General features: G+C 59.9%; 1 protein-coding gene and 2 long non-coding RNA genes across 4 annotated transcripts, besides 1 other annotated feature; 2 read left to right on the plus strand and 1 right to left on the minus strand.

The window, feature by feature from the left end:
* PDCD1 (programmed cell death 1) lies at nucleotides 1,773-10,783 on the minus strand. Of its 2 annotated transcripts, NM_005018.3 has the most exons (5): nucleotides 10,652-10,783; nucleotides 4,510-4,869; nucleotides 4,087-4,242; nucleotides 3,838-3,872; nucleotides 1,773-3,186 (listed from the first exon to the last, which is right to left on the minus strand). In NM_005018.3, the coding sequence occupies exons 1-5, from the start codon at nucleotides 10,725-10,727 to the stop codon at nucleotides 2,947-2,949; spliced, it is 867 nt and encodes a 288-aa protein (NP_005009.2). In that variant the 5' UTR covers nucleotides 10,728-10,783; the 3' UTR covers nucleotides 1,773-2,946. The 2 variants fall into 2 exon arrangements, with proteins under 2 accessions (NP_005009.2, XP_006712636.1); XM_006712573.3 differs by lacking the exons at nucleotides 1,773-3,186; nucleotides 3,838-3,872 and adding an exon at nucleotides 3,879-3,966.
* Nucleotides 4,869-8,165, plus strand: LOC105373977 (uncharacterized). The gene is made up of 2 exons (XR_924076.2): nucleotides 4,869-5,993; nucleotides 7,552-8,165. It is a non-coding gene; the product is annotated as an uncharacterized LOC105373977 (long non-coding RNA).
* Nucleotides 9,989-10,951: an enhancer, noted in NCBI's record as "H3K27ac-H3K4me1 hESC enhancer chr2:242800252-242801214 (GRCh37/hg19 assembly coordinates)". NCBI's record gives its function as "activates a minimal SCP1, AML or CMV promoter by ChIP-STARR-seq in primed H9 embryonic stem cells {active_cell/tissue: H9 hESC(primed)}" and the evidence as "EXISTENCE:reporter gene assay evidence [ECO:0000049][PMID:30033119]".
* Nucleotides 10,961-15,932, plus strand: LOC124908032 (uncharacterized). Its single transcript, XR_007088436.1, has 2 exons — nucleotides 10,961-11,966; nucleotides 14,786-15,932. It is a non-coding gene; the product is annotated as an uncharacterized LOC124908032 (long non-coding RNA).
* The last annotated feature ends 1,225 nt before the right edge of the window (nucleotides 15,933-17,157 follow it).

Raw genomic sequence — 17,157 nt, forward strand, 5'->3', positions numbered from 1 at the left:
GCGCTGCGCTGTGAATGGGTGTTTGAGAGCCTTGAGTTCTGGATGCTGGCGCGCTGCGCTGACAATGGATGAATGAGAGCCTTGAGTTCTGGATGCTGGCGCGCTGCGCTGTGAATGGGTGTTTGAGAGCCTTGAGTTCTGGATGCTGGCGCGCTGCGCTGTGAATGGGTGTTTGAGAGCCTTGAGTTCTGGATGCTGGCGCGCTGCGCTGTCAATGGATGAATGAAAGCCTTGAGTTCTGGATGCTGGCGCGCTGCGCTGTGAATGGGTGTTTGAGAGCCTTGAGTTCTGGATGCTGGCGCGCCGCGCTGTCAGTGGATGAATGAGAGACGTGAGTTCTGGACGCTGGCGCGCTGCGCTGTCAATGGATGAATGAGAGCCTTGAGTTCTGGATGCTGGCGCGCTGCGCTGTGAATGGGTGTTTGAGAGCCTTGAGTTCTGGATGCTGGCGCGCTGCGCTGTCAGTGGATGAATGAGAGACGTGAGTTCTGGATGCTGGCGCGCTGCGCTGTCAATGGATGAATGAAAGCCTTGAGTTCTGGATGCTGGCGCGCTGCGCTGTGAATGGGTGTATGAGAGCCTTGAGTTCTGGATGCTGGTGCGCTGCGCTGTCAATGGATGAATGAGAGCCGTGAGTTCTGGATGCTGGCGCGCTGTGCTGTGAATGGGTGTTTGAGAGCCTTGAGTTCTGGATGCTGGCGCGCTGCGCTGTCAGTGGATGAATGAGAGCCGTGAGTTCTGGATGCTGGCGCGCTGCGCTGTGAATGGGTGTTTGAGAGCCTTGAGTTCTGGATGCTGGCGCGCTGCGCTGTCAATGGATGAATGAGAGCCGTGAATTCTGGACGCTGGCGCGCTGCGCTGTGAGTGGGTGTTTGAGAGCTGTGAGTTCTGGACGCTGATCTCACAGGCAGCACTCTATGGCTTTCTCATTGCCTGTGGTCATTTTCCATGGGACCTATCGGGTTTTGCGGATGGAAACCCACATCATGTGCAGAGCCCCCGGGCAGCGTTCCCTGCCAGGCCTGATCTGCCGGATCTCACCGGGAGTTCCCAGAGCTGCGAGGTCTCTGTGCCTGTCCCTGACACAGGCATGGGGTCCAGGACTGGGCTCCAGGATGGCAAGCAGAGAATGAGCCCCGGGGTGTCAGTGGGTGTTTGGCTGCGGTGCCCGAGGGCCTGGCAGGGCTCCTTTCCCTGCACCGTCCCTGCTGCTAGCTGCCAAGGACCGCAGCAGGGTGATAGGGCTCCAGCAGACGTGACCCCGCCTCCCCCGCTGCCCCCACCCTGTGTACTTAGGGAGGGACCCGCAGATGCTGTGTCCCTCATAGCCCAGGGCAGCCCTCCCACCCCGCTGTGGACGCCCTGGCACCAGGTACCACCCCTGCCCGGAGGGACTGGTAGGCATGGGGACACGGGGGCTATGGAGCAGGCACAGTCACTCAGGGACACCCATGCCTGGCCAGGAAGCCTGGGGCCAGGGGGCCGTGGGACCCCCCTAAAAGGCCTGGGCTTGGGGAAGATGGTGTCCCCAGCCCCGTGATGTTGGAGGAATTTTTCACCGGAGGGCTCTACATGTGAGTGGGGCAAACAGGGCGAGGAGGGCCTGTGTGTTTCTGGGACAGCGAGGGGAAGGCCTGACTCAGGCCAGGATCCAGGGGAGCCACCAGCACCCTCCACACACAGCCTCAGCCTGGCTGCCGCCTTGTCCCTCCCTGGAGGCCTCCCTCCCTCCTGCCCACTGCCCCCACAGCCACCAGACAGGACAGAACTCCTTAGCATGCTCTCATATTTAATTATAATTATAATATAATAGAACCACAGGGAAGGGGGATCCCTTGTCCCAGCCACTCAGGTGCCTGCTGGCCGCCTGGATGCTGGTGGCCCTGCCCCAGGAGTGGGGGTGCAGTGTGTGGATGTGAGGAGTGGATAGGCCACGGCGGGGGTACTAGGCCCCGGGGGAACGCCTGTACCTTCCCACCCAGGCCCTGGTGGGAGCCCGGCCAACCCCTTTAAATAATTTCAGGAATGGGTTCCAAGGAGAGCTCCCAGGGTGGGCACATGGGGGGCCCTAGGTGCCTGCACTTCTGCCCTCCCAACACCCAGGTGGCCACAGCTGGGAGGGGCCTGAGTCAACCCCAGCCCTGCCCTCCTGACCTTGGGACCGTAGGATGTCCCTCTCCCGAGTGGTGTGAGGGGCTGGGGTGGAATGCGGCGGCAGGAGGCCAGAGTGCTGGCTGGGCCTGAAAGGCCTCCAGCTCTGCCTGCCCGCTTACTGCCTCAGCTTCCCTGCCCCACAAAGGGCCTGAGGTGCTGCCTGGGCATGTGTAAAGGTGGAGGGGTTTCCTGCCCTGCCCACCACAGCCAGGAGCTCTTCTGACCTTCCCTGAAACTTCTCTAGGCCTGCAGGGAGCAGATAACTCCTGGGGAGTCCCCAGCCCCATGTACCTCCCACTCCTGTGCCCAGTCTTGGGCCCTGCGTCCAGGGCGTTTCGGGATGCCACTGCCAGGGGCACCTTGGCTGCTCCAAGGCCATCTCCAACCAGCCCCCAAGTTCAGGCAGGAGGCTCCGGGGCGTCAGGCAGGGCCACGGCGCCTTCAGCCCCGGGCCGCAGGCAGCAGCAGCAGCAGCAGCAGCAGCAGCAGAGATTCAGGGAGCTGGACGCAGGCAGCTCTGTGCTGGCAGGACCTGAAGCAGTGACTGCATCTGGCCCTCCCTGTAGGGGACGGTGACACCTGCTGCCTGGGCTCACTGTGGGCATTGAGACATGAGTCCTGTGGTGGGGCTGTGCCTGGTGCAGGTGCAGGCTGGAGCCCCGGTCGCCCCCAGGCAGCTCAGCCCCTGGACGGCCTGCAATGGCCTGCACCCTGCCTGCTTCTCCTGAGGAAATGCGCTGACCCGGGCTCATGGTGGAGGGTCTGCAGAACACTGGTGGCCAAGGAAGCCGGTCAGAGGGGCCAAGAGCAGTGTCCATCCTCAGGCCTCAGTGGCTGGGCACTCCGAGGGCCGTCAGCTGAGCCCCTGCGGGCGGGGGATGAGGTGCCCATTCCGCTAGGAAAGACAATGGTGGCATACTCCGTCTGCTCAGGGACACAGGGCACGGGGGGCTCCGGGGTCTTCTCTCGCCACTGGAAATCCAGCTCCCCATAGTCCACAGAGAACACAGGCACGGCTGAGGGGTCCTCCTTCTTTGAGGAGAAAGGGAGAGGGAGTCAGCCCCACGGCCCACCGCAGGAAGGAGGCCCGCGGCTCCACAGCCTGGCTGCAGTACCGGCACCGAACCTGGGCCCCCCACTATGAGCTGCTTACCCTGAGCTGTCCCACCACTGCCCTCTGTGTGATCTGGGGACACCACCCCTCCTCTCTGGCTCAATGTCCCCCTCTGAAATGTCCCTGGCATTCTTGCAGATTTAGGATTCCAAAATGTGACTTTTCAAGCTCTCCTGTCTCCAATGTAAGATAAGAAATGACCAAGCCCACCCCACGCCCTCGCAGGTGGGCACACGCATGGGCCGGGCACACCTGGAGACCGCAGGCAGGCACATATGTGGGCCGGGCACCCCCAGAGACCGCAGGCGGGCACACGCGTGGGCCAGGCACCCCTGGAGACCGCAGGCAGGCACACACATGGGCCGGGCACCCCCGGAGACCGCAGGTGGGCTGGGGCCCCAGATCATGGCTTTAGGGATTGAGGTTGCTGCCTGGGGGCTGGGGAGGTGGGGTCCTGGCTATAATAGAATGTGAGTCCTGCAGGCCGTGTGGTCCCAGCCTGTCCTTCCACCTCTGCCCACCCAGGAAGGAAGGCACAGTGGATCATGCAGGAAAAGAGTGAGACTCACCAGGGGCTGGCCGGTGCGCCTGGCTCCTATTGTCCCTGCAGAGAAACACACTTGGGGTCACCAGGCCGACCCTGAGCCGTGCTCCTAGGTGGGGGGTCTTAGTCCAGGGGCCTTCATCAGGGACTTAGCCTGGCGGGGAGATGGGGGGAGGTGGGGTGGGGTGAGGGAAGGGTGGAGGAAGGGGAGGCGGGAGTGAGGGCCGCCAGCAGGGTTAGGGCAGGGCAGGCCGAGGGGCTGGGATGACGTTACCTCGTGCGGCCCGGGAGCAGATGACGGCCAGGACCCAGACTAGCAGCACCAGGCTGCCCAGCAGGCCGCCCACGACACCAACCACCAGGGTTTGGAACTGGCCGGCTGGCCTGGGTGAGGGGCTGGGGTGGGCTGTGGGCACTTCTGCCCTTCTCTCTGGAAGGGCACAAAGGTCAGGGGTTAGGACGGGGTCAGGGTGGAGGGTCAGGGTCAGGGGTGAGGGCAGACTAGAGGGGCTGGGGTGCTTCCAGAGCTAGAGGACAGAGATGCCGGTCACCATTCCCCAGGTGCAGGACAGAGCCCTGGACTGGAGCTGGGGGGTCCCTGCCCTACGACCCTGGAGCTCCTGATCCTGTGCAGGAGGGGACACCCACCCCAGGACCGGCTCAGCTCACCCCTGCCCCGGGGCCTCCGAGGCCGCACCTGTCACCCTGAGCTCTGCCCGCAGGCTCTCTTTGATCTGCGCCTTGGGGGCCAGGGAGATGGCCCCACAGAGGTAGGTGCCGCTGTCATTGCGCCGGGCCCTGACCACGCTCATGTGGAAGTCACGCCCGTTGGGCAGTTGTGTGACACGGAAGCGGCAGTCCTGGCCGGGCTGGCTGCGGTCCTCGGGGAAGGCGGCCAGCTTGTCCGTCTGGTTGCTGGGGCTCATGCGGTACCAGTTTAGCACGAAGCTCTCCGATGTGTTGGAGAAGCTGCAGGTGAAGGTGGCGTTGTCCCCTTCGGTCACCACGAGCAGGGCTGGGGAGAAGGTGGGGGGGTTCCAGGGCCTGTCTGGGGAGTCTGAGAGATGGAGAGAGGTGAGGAAGGGGCTGGGTGGCCCCACAAAGCCTCCCCGGCCACCTGCTCACATCCCTCGGGCAGCAAGGGCTCTGGAAGGGCCACCCCAGCTGGAATGTCATTGAGAAGTCTCTGCTGGGGCCTCTGCCACCCGGGGATGGGCACTGGCCTCCACTGCAGAGCCTCTTCCTTCTACGTGAGGCTGCAGCTTCTGCACAGCACCTGGCTCTGACTTGGGTCTCCCTGATTTCCTACTAAGAGCCTTCACCCCCTTCCCCGTTGAGGCCAGTTCCCCCAGAAAGGGCTGTTTGGGGGCTACCCATCCCCAGCCCCTGACCCTTGGGCATCCTGGCCTGGTCCTGTCTGCACTGCTCTGGCACAGGGGAGTGTAACTGGTCTGGGTGGGTGGGGGGCTGCCCATGGAGACCCCAGCCCTGGGAGGAGTGTGGCCCCTTGGCAGGCTCAGGGTCCAGTCTTTGCCCCCTTTTCAGGACAAGCTCGGAGCTGGGACCACGTGGTATGGGCATTGCTGCCCTGGGCAGTGGGCAGTGGGGCCTCCACATTTTCCAGCAAGACAGTGGGGACTAGAGCTCACAGCAAAGATGCTTCAGAGACGAGATGGGCCATTGACTCGGATGTGGACAGACACGGGGCCCCCGACCCTGGGCTCCCAAGACAAGGACCTCCTGAAACATATGCCTGCCAGGGTCAGGGCTTGGGATACCCGCATGGCAACGTGGGGGTCGCGGCTCTTCCGCCAGGCGGAGGCACCAACACAGGCGCTTAAGATCCAGGCCCGAGATGCCATGCAACGGGGTGATTTTCCCGGCTCACCCACAGGTCCCATGCCACAGGGTTCCCCAAACATGGCGCCAGCCCCACACTGTCAGACCCAGTGCACTGTCACTCAGTTCCGTCTCAGGCCTGGGCACGGCCCCCCAGCGAGGTGACACAGAGACCAGGCCCTGGTTGCCACAGCTGCGGTCCCTCTGCTTCCTGGGACAGGCGGCCTCCGTGGCAGGCGGTGGTGATGACTCAAGGAGCAACCAGCTCAGAGGAGGAGGGGGCTGCTGCCCTCGTGTCCCTGCAGCCAGGCTGGCCCACGGCGTGCTGGCTGGACACCAGAGGTGGGTGGGTCTGTCATGTGACCAGGACCAACTCCTAGTGCCAACCTCACTGGGCACCCTCCCAGGGGACGAGTGAGGGGTTTGAAGTGACCTTGAGGCCACCCAGGGTGTCCCTGTTCCCTCTGTGCCCATGGCCTCCCGGCTGACAAGCGCTCGCCTCCTTCACCTGCGTGCCTGTCCCCCAGCTTCCTGGTGGTGTTCCCAGAGGTGGCAGGGGCGAGGGCCAGCTACACAAGGGGCTGCTGAGGTGAGCCCCCTCTCTGAGACCGCCCTTGTCTGCCGGCCGGCCAGGGGAAGCTCCCTGCATAGGCGTGTGCGGCGTGGGCCCGGGGAATCTTCCAGCCACTCCAGAGTGGATTTTGACCAAGGAGGGCTGTGGGGTAGTGTGACTCTCAGGGCCAGCAGGCAGCCAGGCCAGGGCACTCAGAGACCTGCCTGAATGGAGGAAGATGGGCTTCTGGCATCAGGGCCAAGAGGGCTCCTGGGAGGCAGCCTGGGACAGGGTGGGCTGCAGCCCTTACTGGGCCTAGGCTGGGGCTGGGTGGACTCGGCACAGAGCAGGGGAAATGCCCTGCCCTCTGGGTTTCTGGGAATGCAGTGGGGACCCAGGGGCCCCACCACCGCAGGCAGCCCCTCGGGGTCTCCATCTCCCAGGCCAGGGCTGCCATGCAGCTGTCGGGACAGACAGGCAGGTGAGGAACAGAAGTCATCACGGGTACTGTGAGCAGGGACCCTGCATGGCTAGGAAGTGCTAAGGGACCCCCCAGCTGTAGGGCGAGGTGCTGGCGACAGGACAATGGCCGCTGTGTGTCCACACCGCAATGTCCCTGGGACCATCTGTGCATTGTTCTTGTAACTGGAAACTTAGCTGCTATTTATTTGCACACATTGGTGGAGGGACCTGCTCCTGACTTGATCTGTGCTGGCGCTGACAGGCTCAACCCTTTTCCTGTCTGGCTTGCACCAGCCCTCAGCCACTGGGCCTCAAGCCAGGACCCTGGGCTCCTGTTCCGCCCCCCCCAACCCCCCTATTTTGGAATCCACCCCGGGGAGCAGGTCCAGCTGGGCCCCTCGGCCTCCCCTGCCTCCACCAACTGGCTGGGTGGGGTGGGGGCTAGACCTCGGTGTCTGCAGTTCAAGCAGCCCCCTCTCCCACCTCCCCCAGCCAGTCTCAGAGACTGGCTCCCACCCAGTGTGGGGGTGCTGGGTGGCGACCCCCACGCAGGGCCTGCCTCACCCCAGTCCTCAGGCCACCTCCTCCAGGAAGGCTTCCTGGCCTCCCTTGGCTGGTAGTGTCTACTAGGAAGGTGAATATTCAGAAGTGACCACTGGCTGGTCCTGGATCAAGTTAGATTTGGGGTGTTTCTATGGGATTCCATTGTTTCCCCAGGTGCTCCCTCTCGGATCCACGTAGGATCGTGGGTTGATGAGAGAGGGCTGTGCCCTATGCAGGGTCAGGAGGGAGACAGAGCCCATCCCGGGGCTGTGGAACAGGCCTGTGAGGTGGCGGTGGGGGTGCTCCCGCAGAGAGACCGCATTACAGGACATTGCTTTCCAGAAGCGCACAGAAGAAGGCTGCCTGCCCCGGGCGGAGGAACCTGCTGGCCCAGACCAGACCCGGCATCTCTGACCGTGGTCCCATTAGGGACAAGGAAACCGTCCCACGGGCTGTGCTGGGATGAGGACAGCGAGCTTGTCCCTAGAGGACCTGGCAGGGGTGAGGAGTGAGGTCTTCCAACTCCTCACAGTCGTGTGTGTGTGTGGAGGTGGGAAGGGCTGTGGGCCGAACCGTGTCCCCACAGATTCCTATGTGGAAGTCCTAACCCCATGACCTCAGAAGGCGGCCTTATTAGGAATAGGGTGACGGCAGCTGGGACTAGGTAAGATGAGGGCACAGGGCTGGGTGGCCATTGACCAGCAGGCCTGGCTTCCTGTACAGAGTCACCCGTGCAGAGATGAAGGCAGAGCCTGGGGGATGCTTCTGAACCCAGGAACACAGAGGGTGGCCACAAAACCCCCCAGCCAGGAGAAGCTGAGCAGAGCCCTCTCGGAGCACAGGGAGCCGACCCTGTGGCCCCTCGGTCCTGCATGTCCAGCCCCCCACGGCGGGAGGACAGGCTCTGTTTTTAAGCCACAGCCGGGAGAGGCTGAGCAGAGCCCCTCAGAGCACAGGGGAGCCGACCCTGCGGAGCTCCATCCTGCACGTCCAGCCCTCAGTCGGCGAGAGGGCAGGCTCTGTTTAAAAGCCACTCGGTCGGCGGAGCTTTGTCATGGCAGCTCCAGCCGCCCAGTCCCCAAAGCAAATGTGTCAATATTCTTAGTTATTGATTCTAGGTGAGGGATATTCATTGTTTTTAAACGTTTTTGTATATTTTTCAAAATAGTCCGTTTAAAATCTGACTTCAAAAGTTTGACTTTAAAAATCAGACTTTAAAAATATGTGTCATGGAGGCCAGATGCAGTGGCTTATGCCTGTAATCCCAGTACTTGGGGAGGCTGAGGTGGGAGGACCATTTGAGCCCAGCCTGGGGAACATAGCGAGACCCTGTCTCTAAAAAAAATGGAAGAAATTAGCCTGGCAGGGTGGCACGTGCCTATAGTCCCAGCTACTCTGGAGGCAGAGGTGGGAGAATTGCTTGAGCCCCGGAGGTCGAGTGAGCCGAGATCACACCACTGCACTCCAGCCTGGGTGACAGAGCAAGACCCTGTCACTAAAAGAAACAAACAAAAAAGTGTCAGGGGCTGGGCTGGGTAGTTTTCACAGATGACCCGATTTAATCCTCAGGACGCAGCCTTGCCAGGAGGCGTCCTCACCCATGACCCAAAGCACACGGAGAAGTCAGTAAGGGGCCAAGTCCTGTCGAAGGCCCAGAGCTCAGCAGTGGCAGCGCTGACTGGAGCTCACAGTGGTCCCACGCCAAAGCAGAGGCTCTTATTTATGCTCCTGCCCTCGGACGGGGCCAATAAGCAGCCGGGTTGGGGATATCTCATAAAACACAAGGGAAGCACACACCTGAGGTGGGAGTGGTGGCCCCGGGAATGACCGAATGGCGAACGCAGTGAATAGATCAGGAGGGAAAAGAGGCATCCTGGAATGAAGACCACTGCGGCCGGGGTGGCCACATCTGGGTCAGGACCCACAGGACCCCAGTCATGCCCACTGCGCCTTGCTGAGTGCCCTGTGCTGTTACCAGTGGGGAAACCGAGGCATGCCACCTGTGAGAGTCTTGTCCGGCACAAGCGCGGGCACCTGAGGCACGAGTGTCAGGCTGCGGACACCTTGCTCTTATCTTTCCCGCCTGGGTCGGGGAGGGTGGCGTCCCGAGGGCGTGCCTGAAGAGCCGGGACACGGGGGGAGAGGCTCGGCTCCCCTCCTGCCTCGCTCAGCTCCCCCTCCCCTGTGACGAGCGCCCCTCTGCCCTCTGGTTCCCCCGCAGTCGTCTCCCTGGGATGCCTTTTGGCCCTTTGCTCTTTGCCTTTTGCCCAGAATCTCCAGTTCTGAGTCCTGAGTGACCCACGGGCCAACCTTAAGAGGTGGCGCTGAGGCAGGAAGGCACGGCCCTGACAAGGATGCTGCCTCAGGTGCCGGGGAGCAGGCCCCGGGAGAGGGGCCGAGGTGGGGAACCCCCAGTCGCCTGCCACAGTGAAGGGGCACCAGGACCCCCGGGGCAGGAGCCTCGAGGGGGTGTCAGGGCGGCCCCAGGGGTGCCCCTCATCTTGTCCTCCCAGTGGTGTCACACCCCGGTACCCAGCAGGGCCCAGAGGGACTGTCTTAGGCTTGGCCTGGGTGAAACCACCCTCCCCAGGCCTTGGCATCCCCAGGTGCAGGCTGGCTGGGCACAGAGGGCCAGCCGGGCACAGAGGGTCCAGGAGCGGGCTGTGGTCACAGTGTACACAGAGGGCCCAGGGTCACGGGCAGCCCAGGAAGAGGCTCCCTCTCTCCTCGATCCGGGAGAGTGAGGCCAAGGCCTCCCCCACGGATGGTCTGAACAGGGCTCGGGGAGAGCCCTGGAATCTGGGCAGAGACCCAGGCGGGCACAATCCCCACCCAGGAGGGATCCTGGAGACAGAAGAACTGTCCTCACTCGAACAGGTACACTTTGGATATAATGAGAAAAATATCACCAGCTCATCTAAACTTTGACGTCGTAAAGCCAAGGTTAGTCCCACATGGGGCTCATCCCATCCTTAGGAAAACTCGAGTGAGGACCAAGGATGCCTGGGCAAGGCAGAGCCGCCACGCAGACTCCCCACGGCCAAGGTTTGGGGTTCTGGCCAGCCTGACCCGTCATTCTACAGAAACACGCAGCCCCAAGGACCGGCTGAGAGGGGACAGAGGTCCTGCCTGCCCAGGAGCAAAGAGGGGACTTGGGCCAGGGGAGGAGTTGGGGCCCAGAGAGGAACCCAGGAGTTCGAGCTGCCCAAAGCCACACAGCTCAGGGTAAGGGGCAGAGCTGGGGGCCAAGGCTGGGCCTGCCACAGCACCCCCCGACCTGCCAGGGACTGAGAGTGAAAGGTCCCTCCAGACCCCTCGCTCCGGGACCCCTGGGCTGCCAGGGCCAGGCCCGCCTCAGCACCCCCCGACCTGCCAGGGACTGAGGGTGGAAGGTCCCTCCAGACCCCTGGCTCTGGGACACCTGACCGCCGACCCCACCTACCTAAGAACCATCCTGGCCGCCAGCCCAGTTGTAGCACCGCCCAGACGACTGGCCAGGGCGCCTGTGGGATCTGCATGCCTGGAGCAGCCCCACCAGAGTGCCGCCTTCTCCACTGCTCAGGCGGAGGTGAGCGGAAGGGAAACTGTCCCAGGTCAGGTTGAAGGGAGGGTGCCCGCCCCTTGCTCCCGCCCCCTCTTCCTCCACATCCACGTGGGCGAGAGTGACAGAGGCAGTGCTGGGGGAGGAGGGGTGAGGAGGGGGTAGGACTGGGGAGAGGGTGGGGGAGGGAGAGAGAGACAGAGACAGGGAGACAGAGGAGATGGGGAGGAGGTGGGCCCGTGGCCCCCACGCCCTACCCCGTGGGGGTCTCCCCAGCTCAGGGCCCCTTCCTCCTCTGTGTCTCTGCTCACTGCTGTGGCCTCTTTCCATATCCCGCCCGAGCTGCCCCTCCTGAGGCTGCCGGGTGGGGGCAGGCCCTTCTCCTCCCCCATCCCCCCCATCTCCCTGGGGGCCGGGCCTCCCTGCCTGGGGAAGGTGGGTGGCCCCCTCTGGGCTCAGGTTCCTGGGCTGCAGTGAGGGGTGGGCTCAACCCCACTCCCATTCTGTCGGAGCCTCTGGGAGCCTCCCGGCTGCCCACAGCCTCTGCCCCTGCTGGGGGCAGGTGCCTGGCCTCTGCCTTCCCGGCCCATCCCCCTTCGCTGGGGCACAGGTGACCCTACTGAATGACAACTGTCCATGGCTAATCGGCTCCCCCTCAAAGCTTCCACCTTGTGGATGGCCTCACACCATGGCCACAGTTCCAGATCTTTCCACCGTGTGATGCCTGCAACAGCCTGACGGGGGGGCTGGGGCGGTGGCAGGGGCTGGCTGTGAGGCTGACCTCCCCTTCCAGCCTTGACCTTCTTCCCCGGGGCCCTGCCCTCCAGCCCACTCGTGCCAGGGTGGGGTGGTTCAGGGGGTCCAGTGCCTGGGCCTGGCTGGCGGCCCGGCGTTTGTGAAATGGCTTGCTTATCTCCTTGTATTCTGTGCTGAGCATTTTATTACAGCGAATGGAAAACAGGAGAAATGAAACTGCTGATATTAGTGATGAGATGCGTCAGGCTCATCAGCTTAAAATAACCGAAGCGAGGCTAGAAACCGCCTGACAGCTGGCGCGGCTGCCTGGCTCCGAGAGACACTCGGCCCGGCTCTGAAGGGAAAACATTAAAGCACCGAAACAGTGGAAAAAGAGCATCAAAGATGATGTCTGCGAGGCGCGGCCACGGCGAGGAAGCTCTCGTTTATGAACAAAGGGCCACTCCCGGGTCTCAGAGATGTGAGGCTGTGTGGGTGGCTTGGTGGGGAGGTGGGGGGGGCCCAGCTGGCCAGGTGGGCTTGGCGGGGGGCCCCCAGGGAGCCTGGCAGCACCCACTGTGCTGCCAGACAGCTAAGGTGGCCCGCAGCAACTGTCTCCTGGCACACCCACCCTTGTGCCTCAGGGGCTGGGGCTCTGGGGCTGGAGAACTGTTGGTTGGTAGGTGCCTCCATAGCCCTGTGCCTCGCCCAGGCAGTGGATAAGTGGCTAAGCTGCCCCTGCTGGCTGTACTTGTCCTGAAGGCAGATTCTGGACAGAACCTCCCTCTGCCCCCAGCCCTGTAGAGCCTTGTTCCAACCTCTGTTGAATGCTGTCTCTGTTCCAGGGCAGCAGTGGGCCTTCCTCAAGGCTCTGAGCTTTGTGGGACGAAGCTGTCCTCTGAGGACTGGGAATGCCACTGTGTGGGCTGGAGGGGAGGCTGGGCCCAGGAGGTGGGCTCTGAGATGGGAGATGCTATCAGACCCCTGGAAGGTCTCCTCACCACCAAGGCCCTGCCCCCAAAATTCCACCTGCCAGGGCTTGGACACATGTCCTGGAGTAGGGGGCGGGCACAGGGAGAAACCCAGCTTCCATCCTACCCCTTCCTTCCTTCTCCTTCTCCCACCCCTCTCCTCTCTCCCTGCAGTTCTTCCCTGTCACCCACTCTCCTTCCCTCCTCCTCTCAGTCCCACTGAAGGCCCCTGGGCCATGGGAGAGGAGACCTGGTGGGGTGGGCCCAGCGTGGAGCCAGGGGACTGCGGCCACTGAGGCCAGGGCTGCCTGATGGTCTCTCCACATTGCTACTCGCTGGAGCACCTGCAAAGAGACACATGGACCCAGGGAGGGTCTGCAGGGCTGCGAGGGGTCTGAGCCTGGAGAGCACAGGGCCTGCAGGGATGCAGGCATTGGGCATTGGGCCTGGACTAGTAGGCTGAACCTACAGGGTCCTGGGACCCCACCCCGAAGCAGATAGGCGGTCCCAGGGCTCAGGTGTGGGGTGGGGACTCATGGAGCCTGCACCCCAATATCACACTCCAGACCACTTATTGACACCCTCCCCCAAACACATACGGTGTCCCCAACACACGATTTCCAACACACCACACCCCAACACACACAGTCCCCAACACACACACAGTCCCCAACACACACACAATCTCCAACACACACAATCCCCCCACACACAATCCTCAACACACACACAAAATTCCCAACACACACAATCCCCAAAACATACACAGTCCCCAACACACACACAAAATTCCCAACACATACAATCTCCAACACACACAATCCCCCTGCACACAATCCTCAACACACACACACAATTCCCAACACACACAATCCACAACACACACACAATCCCAACACACACACAACTTTCAACATACGTAGAATCCCCAACACACACAATCCTCAACACACACACAAAATTCCCAACACATACAATCCTCAGAACACACACAATCCTCAACACACACACAATTCCCAATACACACACAATCTCAAACACACACAATTCCCTCACACACAATTCTCAACACACACACAAAATTCCCAACATGCACAATCCCCAACGTACACGCAATCCACAACACATACACAAAATTCCCAACGCACACACAAAATTTCCAACACACAATCCTCTGTACACATTGTCCCCAACTCACACACAACTCCCAACATGCACAGAATCCCCAACACACACACAAATCCCCAACACACACAATCCTCAACACACACACAATTCCCAATACACACACAATCCCCAACACACCCAATCCCCAGCACACACACAGAATCTCCCCCACACACAATCCTCAACACACACACAATCCCCAACACACCCAATCCCCAGCACACACACACAATCTCCCCCACACACAATCCCCAACACACACACAACCCCCAACACATACACAATCCCCAACACAATCCCCAACACGCAATCTACAACACCCACACACCACAATCCCCAACACACATACAAAATCTGCAATATACACACAATCCCCAACACACGATTTCCAACACACACAACTCCCAAACATACATGCTCCCCAGCACACACACTTTCCTCCCACACACATCCTAAGCCCGTGCCTTCCACCCAGTAGGCTTCCACTGTCTTCTGTCACGAGGAGGAAAGGCAGGCGGAGTCCGGGGAGCAGGGTAGATGGGGCTAAGGGGCCCTTGGCTGGCCGGCCCTGCGCACCCCTCCCCCATCTCCTTTTCTCAGCCTTCCTTCCCAGGGAACCTGGACACCCAGGCCCTTCCCCCACCGCCTGCTCCTTCCTCACAGAGGGTCATACCCCATCCAAATCACTGGCCCTGGGATGGCAGCAGCCAGATTCAATCCAGGGCATTCAGTTAAAAGATAATTTACAACAAGCAAAGTTGTATGTGGTTTTTGTCTGTTTATTTTCTTTTAGAGACAGGGTCTTGCTCTGCACCCAGGCTGGAGTGCAGTGGTGTGATCTTGGCTCACTGCAGCCTCGACCTCCTGGGCTCAAGCGATCCTCCGACCTCAGCCTCCTGAGTAGCTGGGACCACAGGCGTGCACCCCGTGGCCAGCTCATATCTAACATTTTTTTTTTTTGTAGAATTTGGGGTGGGGGCAGAGGAGGTCTCTTTATGTTACCCAGGCTGGTCTCAAACTCCGGGCCTCCAGCAATTCTCCCACCTTGGACTCCCAAAGAGTTGGGATTACAGGCGTGAGCCACCACACCTGGCTGATGGTTGTATGTTTTGGTTGAGTATTGTATCATTTACAATTGAGATAATTGTAGATTTACTTGCAGTTGTAAGAAATTACACAGATGTTTCCTCATACACTCTGCTCAGTCTCTCTGAATGATAACAGTTTGGAAAACCACAGGACAACGTCACAACCAGGTTAATGACTTTGATGTGACACCTCGATCCCATCCTGAGTCCCCGTTTCTGGCTAATGTGTGCCTATCAAAGGCTGCACAATGTGGGCACAAGCGAAGGCTCCTGCATCCCCTGACAGCGAAGCTGCAGAACGTCCCCATCACCACGGGGTCCTCCGGGTGCCCTTGGCAATACACCCACCTCCCTGCTGGTGGCCACGAGCCTGCCCTCCACCCCCATCACTGTTTCATTCCAGCGACAGCCGTGGGAAGGTGCAGTACGCATCCTTCCGGGATTCCCTGGAGATGCCTCCAGCGCGTGTGTTTCAGCAGCCCGTTCCTCTCTGTGCCGAGCCATCCAGGCTGTGGTGTGGATGTACGTACCACACCACAATTTAGTCAGCCATTCTTCAGTTTAAGTGAGTCTGGGTGGACTCCAGTTCTTGGTGACTATGACTAAAGGCCCCGGAAGCCCTCTGTGGGCCAGAGCGCCCAGGAGGCCAGGGGATCTAGGACTGCTTTCCGAGACTGGGGCCTTGCTCTCAGGGGCCTGGAGAAGGTTCCCCTCGCTGGGGGCCCTCCCATGCTCCTGGACTGAGAAGAGAAACCCTACAGTTTCCAAGGAGCCTGCACGTCATGACGCATGGCGCCCGGCGCACGGCAGTGGTGAGATGGGCCCCGTGTGCTGGAACATGAGCCAGCAGCGATGGAAAGTGGCGAGGGGAGGGGAATCCCCGTGCTCGCTCGGGCCAGTGGGAAGTTTCCATCCGCGCAGGGACGGTCCGGGGAAGCACTGGAAACAGCAGGACCATCCCGAAACTGCTTCTGCAGTGGGAGGCGCCGGGCGCCCGGCTGGCCGGGTGGAAACCACGCTGCAGCCGCCGGGCCAAGGGCACCGCGGTGGGGAGGCAGCGCCTGATTCACAGCAATTTCTGAGGTTGGAACAGGAAATGGTTAATAGTGTTTGCAAATAAAAACTCTCTGTTCTATCCTGTTTTCGAAACATTTCCCAGAAGTTAAAAAATAACACCCAATTTATCTGCCCAATTTAAGAATAAACTTTTTAAAAATTGAATGAGATATTTCCACAATTTATTATACACACAAAAAAATCGTTGGGCTGTTTGTTAAGGGGGGGTGGCAGGTGATTTCTAGCCACCCCCCCCGCTGTTTTCTAAACTTTCTAGAATGTGGTTAGTAGTTTAGATGTCAATTTATGTTCTAAATCTCCCAGTGTGTACATGTATATGTGTGTGTGTAGGTGTGTGTGTTTATGTGTACTGTATGTGGTATGTGTATTGTGTGTGTTGGTGTGTATCTCTGTTCATGTATATTGTGTGTTGTATGTAGTATGTGTTATGTGTGTTGTGTGTAGTGTACGTGGTGTTTGGTGTGTGTAGTGTGTGTGGTGTGTGTGTAGTGTGTGTGGTTGTAGTGTGTGTTGTGTGTGTAGCATGTGTGCTGTGTGTACTGTGTGTGTTTGTGTGTGATATGTGTGTGCTGTGTGTGGTGTGTGGTGTGTGTGTAGTGTATGTGGTGTATGTTGTGTGTGAGCTGTGTGTGATGTGTGTAGAGTGTGGTGTGTGTGTAGTGTGTTGTGTGTGTGGTTTGTGTGATGTGTTGTGTGTAGTGTGTGTGGTATGTGTGCTGTGTTGTGTGTGAGCTGTGTGTGATGTGCATAATGTGTGGTGTGTGTGGTGTGTGGTGTAGTGTGTGGTGTGTGTGGTGTGTGTAGTGTGCATTTGTGTGGTGTGTGTGGTGTGTGTAGTGTGCATTTGTGTGTGGTGTGTGTGGTGTGTGTAGTGTGTGTGGTGTGTGGTGTAATGTGTTTGGTGTGTGTAGTGTGCATTGTGTGGTGTGTGTAGTGTGTACGTGGTGTGTGGTGGGTGTAGTGTGTGTGTGGTGTGTGTAGTATGTGTTGTGTGTGTTGTGTGGTGTAGTGTGTGGTGTGTGTGGTGTGTTGTGTGTGTGGTGGGTGTAGTGTGTGTGGTGTGTAGTGTAGTGTGTGTGGTGTGTGTGTGGCATGTGTGGTGTTTGGTGTGTGTGGTGTGTGTAGTGTTTTTATGTAGTGTGTGGTGTGTGTCGTGTGTGTGGTGTGTGTCGTGTGTGTAGTGTGTGTGTGGTGTTTGGTTGTGTAGTGTGTGTGGTGTGTGTACTGTGTGTGGCGTGTTTGGCGTGTGTGTTTGTGTGTGGTATGTGTAGTGTGTGTGGTGTGTGCGGTAATGTGTGGTGTTTCTGTGGTGTGTGTAGTGTGTGTTTGTGGTATGTGTAGTGTGTGGTGTGTGGTGTAGTGTGTGGTG

This window comes from Homo sapiens, chromosome 2, assembly GCF_000001405.40.
Source record: "Homo sapiens chromosome 2, GRCh38.p14 Primary Assembly".
Lineage (NCBI taxonomy): Eukaryota > Metazoa > Chordata > Mammalia > Primates > Hominidae > Homo > Homo sapiens.